This window comes from Homo sapiens, chromosome 10, assembly GCF_000001405.40.
Source record: "Homo sapiens chromosome 10, GRCh38.p14 Primary Assembly".
Taxonomy (NCBI): domain Eukaryota; kingdom Metazoa; phylum Chordata; class Mammalia; order Primates; family Hominidae; genus Homo; species Homo sapiens.
In genome coordinates this window covers 72,205,930-72,215,387 of record NC_000010.11, presented here as the reverse complement: position 1 = coordinate 72,215,387, position 9,458 = coordinate 72,205,930, and the positions used below count along the sequence as shown (strand labels likewise).

The 9,458-nt window shown below is 44.8% G+C and overlaps 1 protein-coding gene across 38 annotated transcripts in view, besides 2 other annotated features; it reads left to right on the top strand.

The window, feature by feature from the left end:
* The window catches only part of ASCC1 (activating signal cointegrator 1 complex subunit 1), a 121,103-nt gene that overhangs the window by 1,747 nt on the left and 109,898 nt on the right, over positions 1-9,458 (top strand). For 32 of the 38 annotated variants that reach the window (NR_045564.1, XM_047425261.1, NM_001369099.1 and 29 more), the window contains exons 2-3: positions 2,057-2,201; positions 4,557-4,656. Coding sequence is in view for 37 of the 38 variants with exons in the window: in XM_047425261.1 (XP_047281217.1) it covers positions 2,057-2,201; positions 4,557-4,656 (245 nt within the window). In the remaining variant the exon portion in view is untranslated. Of the gene's footprint in view, positions 1-2,036; positions 2,202-3,102; positions 3,201-4,556; positions 4,657-9,458 lie in introns of all 38 variants that reach the window. The other 6 variants (NM_001369105.1, NM_001369102.1, NM_001369106.1 and 3 more) reach the window with 2 other exon arrangements.
* Positions 874-1,373: an enhancer, noted in NCBI's record as "H3K27ac hESC enhancer chr10:73973773-73974272 (GRCh37/hg19 assembly coordinates)". NCBI's record gives its function as "activates a minimal SCP1, AML or CMV promoter by ChIP-STARR-seq in primed H9 embryonic stem cells {active_cell/tissue: H9 hESC(primed)}" and the evidence as "EXISTENCE:reporter gene assay evidence [ECO:0000049][PMID:30033119]".
* Positions 1,374-1,875: an enhancer, noted in NCBI's record as "H3K27ac hESC enhancer chr10:73973271-73973772 (GRCh37/hg19 assembly coordinates)". NCBI's record gives its function as "activates a minimal SCP1, AML or CMV promoter by ChIP-STARR-seq in primed H9 embryonic stem cells {active_cell/tissue: H9 hESC(primed)}" and the evidence as "EXISTENCE:reporter gene assay evidence [ECO:0000049][PMID:30033119]".

Genomic DNA, 9,458 nt, shown 5'->3' with positions numbered 1-9,458 from the left:
TCGCTCTGTCGCCCAGGCTGGAGTGCAGTGGCGCGATCTCAGCTCACTGCAACCTCCGCCTCTCAGGCTTAAGCCATTCTCGTGCCTCAGCTTTCCCAGTAGTTGGGACTACAGGCGCCCGCCACCACACCCGGCTACTTTCTGTATTTTCAGTAGAGACGGGGTTTCATCATGTTGGCCTGGCTGGTCTCGAACTCCTGGCCTCAGATGATCCGCCTCGGCCTCCTAAAGTGCTGGGATTACAGACGTGAGCCACCGCGCCCACGTTGGCTTGAACATTAGTGTATTTAGTAAGGATCAACTTGTTTTCTTTGGAACTTTTAAGTATTTTGGGCTTCAAGACTATCTAAGCTGTACGTGGTAGGAATATTGGTTGAATTTAACCTCAGCTAGCCTGTAAGGAACCTTTGTTTCCTAAATTATTGATTCATTAAGTGATGTGACCAGAAGCTTGGCTTCGCAGTGAGCGATGTGCATTTTGTTGGGCAGTGGCCTGTGGAAATTGGATTCCCCCCTTCAGCAGTATGTTGGTCTGAGAACCATATTGGTTAAGTTGTTATTTTAACTGTGCTTTAACAGACAACTGGAACTGATTGTTTGGTATGAATTTCTAGCACCTCTAAAAGTACTTAGGGGCTTTTTTTTTTCTGGATGGTTAAGTGTATTAAATATCCCTCATTGTCTTAATTATCTTGCTAGATAGAAAGAGTTTGCTGGGCGCAGTGGCTCACGCCTGTAATCCCAGCACTTTGGGAGACTGAGGCGGGTGGATCACCTGAGGCCAGGAGTTCCAGACCAGCCTGGCCAACATGACGAAACCCCATCTCTACTAAAAATACAAAAAATTAGCCGGGGGTGGTGGCAGGGGCCTGTAATTCCAGCAACTGGGAAGGCTGAGGCAGGAGAATCGCTTAAACCCGGGAGGCAGAGGTTGCAGTGAGCTGAGATTGTGTCATTGCACTCCAGCCTGGGCAACAAGAGCAATACACCGTCTCAAAAAAAAAAAAAAAAAAAAAAAAAGAGATATTGTGCAAATGGTTAGATAACCACTGAAGTTTGCATTTTACTCATTAGGTTAAAGTAATAAAGAGACCTTTATTCTCTCTTTCAAAGCCATGGACAGGCTGTGTTTATATACGGGCATTTATAATGCCTTTTATTTTTAATCTCTCTTTTTTTTGTTGTTGTTGTTGTTTTTTGAGAGACAGGGTTTCGCCATGTTGCCCAGGCTGGTTTCAAACTCTTGGGCTCAAGCAGTCCTCCTTCCTCAACCTCCCAAAGTGCTGGGAGTACAGGTGTAAGCCACCATGCCTGGCCCTTTTCTCTTTCTCTTTTTCTTTTTCTTTTTTTAAGACGGAGTTGTGCTCTGTTGCCCAGGCTGGAGTGCAGTGGCGCGATCTTAGCTCACTGCAACTTCCGCCTCCTGGGTTCAAGAGATTCTCCTGCCTCAGCCTCCCGAGTAGCTGGGATTACAGGCACGTGCCACCATGCCTAGCTAATTTTTGTATTTTTAGTAGAGATGGGGTTTCACTATGTTGGTCAGGCTGGTCTTGAACTCCTGACCTTGTGATCTGCCTGCCTCGGCCTCCCAAAGTGCTGGGATTACAGGTGTGAGCCACCACACCTGGCCCTCTTTTTCTTTTTTTAGAGACGAGGTCTCACTATGTTCATAAGGCTGATCTTGAACTCCAGCCTCAACCAATCCTCCCACCTTGGCCTCCCAAAGTGCTGGGATTACAGATGTGAACCACTGCTCCCCTCCCTTCCTTCTTTTTTTTTTTTTTTTAAGAGTGTATGCCTTTTAATCATTTTTGGGGGGGGGGTGATAAATAGTTTACAAATTACTTTGCTGTCTAGAGTGAGCCAGTGTGGTAGAAAATGCAGCAATTAACCTAAACTGGTTTACAGATGGGAAATCCAATGGGAAATGGTGCTGCTTTTGTGTGGGAGATACTGTGAACTGATGCCCAATTCAGACCTGCATAATGGTTCAGACACTAGAGATAGGAGTTTTAATTCTCACTAAGAAAGGTAAGATGGTAATTATATTTTTCAGGGCATAATTGGAATATCATTTGGAGAAAGTGTCATGGAAGTTCTGCGTCCACAGCTTATAAGAATTGATGGCCGGAATTACAGGAAGAATCCAGTCCAAGAACAGACCTATCAACATGAAGAAGATGAAGAGGACTTCTATCAAGGTAATCCTAGTTGCTCTTTGGTCAGATAAGAAGTAAAATGTCCTGTGTATTGTAGGATCAATTTTTTGTTTGTTTTAATGTGTTTCTGTGTCAGCACTGAAATTTGAGATGTTTGGCCTCATATAGCTCCATTTATGTTCATGTCTAAGGGTACTGATGAGTTTGAGTTTAGCTGAAGTGTTTTTGGTTGCAATTTATAAGTTATGTTTCTTCTTTGTACAGAGGTTTAAATATCATAGAGAAATTTTAGTTGTTAATATTAACCATTAATATTCTATGACAAAATTAAGTTCCGTTGTAGAGTTGTAATTATTATTATTAATAATATTATTATTATTTGAGATGGAGTCTTGCTCTGTCACCTAGGCTGGAATGCAGTAATGTGATCTCCACTCACTGCAGCCTCCGCCTCCCAGGTTCAAGTGATTCTGGTGCCTCAGCCTCCTGAGTAGCTGGGATTACAGCCATGTGCCAGGATGCCCAGCTAATTTTTGTATTTTTAGTAGAGACAGGGTTTCACCATGTTGGCCAGGCTAGTCTCAAACTCCTGACCTCAAGTGATCCACCTGCCTTGGCCTCTCAAAGTGCTGGGATTACAGGCATGAGCTACCGCACTTGGCCCTAAAGTAATTATGTATAAATTTTTGAAATAAATGAACGTATGTATTTAGTCCATTGCCCAATAATGTTACCAAAATCCTCAGATGGTCATGTCCCTTTTGTAGAACATCGTGGTTTTTGCATGTAATCTACACACATCCTACTTTAAATCCTGTCTTATGATACATATAATACCTAATACAATGCAAATGCTCTGTAAATAGTTGTGGTACTGTATTGTTTTTTATTTTTTATTTATTATTATTAATTTTTGAGACAGAGTTTTGCTCTTGTCACCCAGGCTGGAGTGCAGTGGCGTGATCTGGGCTCTCTGCAACCTCTACCTCCCGGGTTCAAGCAATTCTCCTGCCTCATCTTCCCCAGTAGCTGGAACTACAGGTGCCTGCCACCACACCTGGCTAATTTTTGTATTTTTAGTTGAGATAGTGATTTGGGCTCTCTGCAGCCTCTACCTCCTGGGTTCAAGCAATTCTCCTGCCTCAGCTTCCCCAGTAGCTGGGACTACAGGTGCCTGCCACCACACCTGGCTAATTTTTGTATTTTTAGTTGAGATAGTGTTTCACCATGTTGGCCAGGGTGGCCTCAAACTCCTGACTTCGGGTGATCCTCTTGCCTTGGCCTCCCAAAGTGCTGAGATTACAGGCATGAGCCACCATGACCGGCCTGTATTGTTGTTTAATTTTTATTATTTTTATTGCTGTATTGTTATTTTACTGACTTTTTTCCAAGTAATTTTTTTTTTTGAGGCGGAGTCTTGCTTTGTCACCCAGGCTGGAGTGCAGTGGCGCGATCTCGGCTCACTGCAAGCTCTGCCTCCCGGATTCACGCCATTCTCCAGCCTCAGCCTCCTGAGTAGCTGGGACTACAGGTGCACACCACCATGCCTGGCTAATTTTTTATATTTTTAGTAGAGACGGGGTTTCACTGTGATAGCCAGGATGCTGGGATTACAGGCATGAGTCACCGTGCCCAGCCGTAATTTTTTTTTTAAGAGACAAGCGCATTCTGGAGTGCAGTGGCACGACCTTGGTTCACTGCAGCCTCACCTCCCGGGCTCAAATGATTCTCCCACATCATCTTCCTGAGTAGTGGGGACTTACAGGCATGTACCATCATGCCCAGCTAATCTTTGTAGAGATGAGGGGGTTTTACTTTGTTGCCCAGGCTGGATTTTTTTTTCAAATATTTTCAATCTGCAGTTGGTTGAATCCACAGATGGAGAATCCCTGGATATGGAGGGCCAACTGTATATAGAAACCTTTGATAAAGTTTAGTTTATTAATCAGGCACAGTAAGAGATTAATAACAATAACTAACAAAATAGAACAATTATAACAATACATTGTAATAAAAGTGATGTGAATGTGGTCTCTCTGTCTCATATCCAGTATCTTATTGTAGTAATAGTTTTGGACAGCAGTTAACTGCAAGTAATTGAAACCTTGGAAAGCGAAACCACAGATGGGGGGAACTACCGTATGCATATGCTACCTTCCCAGGGTTCCAAGACTGAAAGATTTAAAATAGTCATTATGTGTTTTTTTAAGGTTTATTTCCTATACGATCGGGTCAGAAGGAGTATCAGAGCAGTGTCATGGAATGTACAGTGTCCGGCTGTTCTTTATGCCTGTGTATTGCTTTTTTTAAACCTCAACAGCGGTTGACAGCTGAGGCGAAAGCTGTTGTCCACAGAGCAACATTGTTTCTGAGTGAGATGTGATGGTTTCTGTGCAGGCTCCATGGAGTGTGCTGATGAGCCCTGTGATGCCTACGAGGTGGAGCAGACCCCACAAGGATTCCGGTCTACTTTGAGGGCCCCCAGCTTGCTCTATAAGTGAGTCATGTCCCCAACAGTTTCATGGGAAGACACTTCCAGGAAACTCAGCGGGAAGTGGACCCTTTGGTCTTCCATACTTATTGCAGTGCTTGATTACTAATGATAAAATAGTGTAGTGTTATGTCCTGAAATGTCAAAGGACTGATTACAGATTAATTTCATTGTTCCACATGTATCACTAAGCTGATTTTGCCTCTTGTGTTAGGCCATTCTTGTGTTGCTATAAAGAAATACCTGAGGCTGGGTAATTTATAAAGAAAAGAGGTTTCGGCCAGGTGCGGTGGCTCACGCCTGTAATCCCAGCACTTCGGGAGGCTGAGGCGGGTGGATCACCTGAAGTCAGAAGTTCAAGACCAGCCTGGTCAACATGGCGAAACCCCGTCTCTACTAAATATACAAAAATTAGCCGGGTGTGGTGGCAGGCATCTGTAATCCCAGCTACTTGGGAGGCTGAGGCAGGAGAATCACTTGAACCTGGGAGGCAGAGGTTGCAGTGAGCCGAGATTGTGCCATTGCACTGCAGCCTGGGCAACAAGAGTGAAACTTAGTCTTAAAAAAAAAAAAAAAAAAGAAAAGAGGTTTCATTGGCTCATGACTCTACAGACAGTACAAGCATGGCACCAGCATCTGGGGAGGCCTCAGGGACCTTTTACTCTTGGCAGAAGCTGAAGTGGGAGCAGGCATGTCACATGGTGAAAGCAGGAGCAAAAACGATGGGAGGTGAGATGTCACACACTTTTAAACAACCAGATCTTGTGTGAGCTCACTCATCGCCAAGGAGATGGTGCTAAGCCATCATGAGGGATCCACCCCCATGATCCAAACACCTGCCACCAGGCCCCACTTCCAACACTGAGGGTTACATTTCAACATGAGATTTGGCAGGGACACAGATCCAAACCACATAACCTTTTATTTAATTTATTTAATTTATTTATTTATTTTGAGACAGAGTTTCGCTCTTTCGCCTAGGCAGGAGTGCAATGGGACGATCTTGGCTCACTGCAACCTCCGCCCTCAGGGTTCAAGCCATCCTCCTGCCTCAGCCTCCTGAGTAGCTGGGATAATAGGTGCCCACCACCATGCCTGGCTAATTTTTGTATTTTTAGTAGAGATGGGGTTTCGCCATGTTGGCTAGGCTGGTCTCGAACTACTGACCTCAGGTGATCCACCTGCCTCAGCTTCCCAAAGTGCCGGAATTATAGGTGTGAGCCACTGCACCCAGCCTATTTTTATTATTGTATTTTTGAGACAGGGTGTCGCACTGTTGCCAGGTTAGAGTGCAGTGGCACAATCTTGGCTCACTGCAGCCTTGACTGCCCGGGGTAAAGTGATCCTTTCACCTCAGCCTCCCAAGTAGCTGGAACCGGCACACACCACCAAGCCTGGCTAATTTTTTGAATTATTTGTAGAGATGGGGTTTTACTATGTTTCCCAGGCTGGTCTTGAACTCCTGGACAAAAGTGATCCTCCCACCTTGGTCTCCCAAAGTGTTGGGATGAGCCACTGTGCCCAACTACCATATCCCATATTACCTTTTAAATATCTCTTTTTTTTTTTTTTAAAGACAGGGCTTTGCTTTGTTACCCAGGCTGCAGTGCAGTGGTGCGATCTCGGCTCACTGTAGCCTTGACTTCCTGGGCTCAAGTGATCCTCCCACTTAAACCCCCCAAATAGCTGGGACTACAGGTGTGTGCCACCATGCCTGGCTAATTTTTTGTATTTTTGGTAGAGACAGGGTTTCTCCATATTGCCCAGGCCGGTCTTGAACTCTGGAACTCAAGCAGTCCACCCGCCTTGGCCTCCCAGTGGGCTGGCATTACAAGTGTGTTAAATATCTTTTGAATCTACCAGCTGTCTGTATCTTCACTGCTACCTCTCTGCCTTTTCTGTGGATTACTTAAAATAGCCTGCTTATTGGTCTCTACACACACACACACACAAACACACACACACACACATTTTTTTTGAGATGGAGTCTTACTCTGTCACCCAGGCTGGTGTGCAGTGGCATGATCTTGGCTCACTGCAACCTCCTCCCCTTTGGTTCAAACGATTTTCTTGCATCAGCTTCCTGAGTAGCTGGAACTACAGGCCTGCACTACTACACCTGGCTAATTTTTGTATTTTTAGTAGAGGTGGGGTTTTACCATGTTGGCCAGGCTGGTCTCGACCTCCTGACCTCAGGTGATCCACCTGCCTCGGCCTCCCAAAGTGTTGGGATTACAGGCGTGAGCCACCGCACCCGGCCACAAATGTTTTCATTTCATCCACCTTGATAGCATTCTGAAACACCTATTAAAGATAAAATTCTCCTGGAATATGACCAAATCAGGCTCTAGTGACATTTTTTCCTAAGAAACATGATTTTAGAAAGTTGTGGCTCAGTTTCCTGGAAAAAAAAAAAAAAAATCAGTGTAACAGGTCTTGGTGTGAATCTGCTGTTGCTAAGGTGTGTAAAAGTTCCTTGCATGATTCTGACTTGATAATCTTTTGATTTCTCTATATTCTAAGCACTCATTATGTGTCAAGTGACTTGCATGTTAAATTAGGTATTGGGTCTGATAAATCCTAATTAATAGGTAATATTTACTCGGAAGGCTGGGTGTGGTGGCTCATACCTGTAATCCCAGCACTTCGGGAGGCCAAGATGGGAGGATTGCTTGAGCCCATGAGTTGGAGACCACCCAGCTTGGGCAACATGGTGAGACCCTGTTTCTACAACAAAAAATAAAAATAAAAAAAATAAATTAGCCAGGCGTGGTAGTGAGTGCTTGTAGTCTCAGCTACTTGGTAGGTTGAGGCAGGAGTATTGCTGGAGCCCAGAAGTTCAAGGTTACAGTGAGCTATGATTGTGCCAATGTAATTCCACCTGGGCGACAGAGCAATATCCTGTGTCAAAAAAAAAAAAAATACTAAGATTTCTTTCTTGGGAATAATTTCTGTAGGCTTATTTGGATCAAGAAAGAAATTACCTGGCCAAACTAATTTATAATCAGAGCCTAATATTGTCAACACCTGTCCATGGGTTATGTCTCATGCTGTGGTTCTTAGCCTCAGGTGCACAGGAGAATCATCTGGGGAACTTCTGAAAATCCCAGGGCTTGGGTGCACCCCAGACCGATTAAATCAGAGTCTGTGGGAGCAGGACCCAGGTATCACTATTTGAAGCCCCCCAGGTGATTCCAGTGTATAGCCAAGACTGAGAACCACTTGACCTGGTAGGAATTTCCTCTTATGTATTCAACCAAGGAGTCACCTTGTCACTGCTTATTTGTATTATTGTAGCAAATATTTTATTTATTTTATTATTTTGAGACGGATTCTCACTCTGTTACTCGGGCTGGAGTGCAGTGGCACGATCTGGGCTCACTGCAATCTTTACCTCCCTGGTTTAAGTGATTCTCCTGCTTCGGCCTCCCGAGTAGCTGGGACTACAGGCATGCGCCACCACACCTGGCTAATTTTTTTGTGTTTTTGTTAGAGACGGGGTTTTGCCATGTTGGTCAGGCTGGTCTTGAACTCATGACCTCAGGTGATCTGCCTGCCTCGCCTCCCAAAGTGCTGGGATTACAGGCATGAACCACTGTGTCTGGCCTATAGTGAGTATTTTAGATTTTCCATGTAAACCTCTTTTCTGTCCAGTTATACTTTTAACTGAAAAGGTGCCAGTATAGGTTTAATGAGGATAGCATATGTCATGCCGCACACCTGTTGACTTTGATGGGGATGGCACCATGTTAGAGAGGCTGGGGAAGAGACCCAGAGCCAGCAAATGAGACAGAGGATTTATTGAGGGGACTTGCATAAAGGGTGGTGCTGTGGTGGTGGGCTGGACAGAACTTCAACTGCTTGGAAAAAGCATACAGTTTATATAACATTTCCACTTAGCACCCTGCCCCTAGCAGCCATCACCTGGCAACCTTTATTTAATCCAAAACAAAGGGCCTCAATCCTCTGTATGGCCTGGGTTCCATAAACGGGTCAGGGATTCAGATGTTCCTCATAGATAAAGGAATGAATCTCTGGGTTGGAATGAATCCAAGCCGGATTCCGTAGTTTGGAACTCTGAACACATAATTCCTTTTAGATCATAGGGTGATTCTCAGGTAGGCTTAAGTTATTACTGTCAGGGTCCTTCTCCCGGTATGCTTAATCTACTAACGTTAGGGGCATCTGCCCTACAGCATGGACTGTATGGAGCTCTGTGCCACTTATTGGGAAGCTCTTTCATATATGATCACATTTAATCCTTACGACAACCTTATGACAAATAGGTATTATTCATTCCATTTTAATTTAATTTAATGTTTATTTTTTTTTGAGACGGGAGTTTCGCTCTTGTTGCCCAGGCTGGAGTGCAATGGCATGATCTCGGCTCACCACAACCTCTGCCTCCCAGGTTCAAGAGATTATCCTGCCTCAGCCTCCCGAGTAGCTGGGATTATAGGCATGCGCCACCATGCCCGGCTAATTTTGTATTTTTAGTAGAGGTGGGGTTTCTCCATGTTGGTTAGGCTGGTTTCCAACTCCTGACCTCAGGTGATCCACCCGCCTCAGCCTTCCAAAGCACAGGGATTACAGGCGTGAGCCACCATGCCTGGCCTCTTTTTTTTTTTGTTTTTGAGACAGAGTCTCGCTCTGTCACCCAGGCTGGAGTGGAATGGCACAATCTCAGCTCACTGCAACCTCTGCCTCCTGGGTCCAAGTGATTCTCCCGCCTCAGCCTCCCGAGTAACTGGCATTACAGGCATCTGCCACCATGCCTGGGTAATTTTTGTATTTTTAGTAGAGATGGT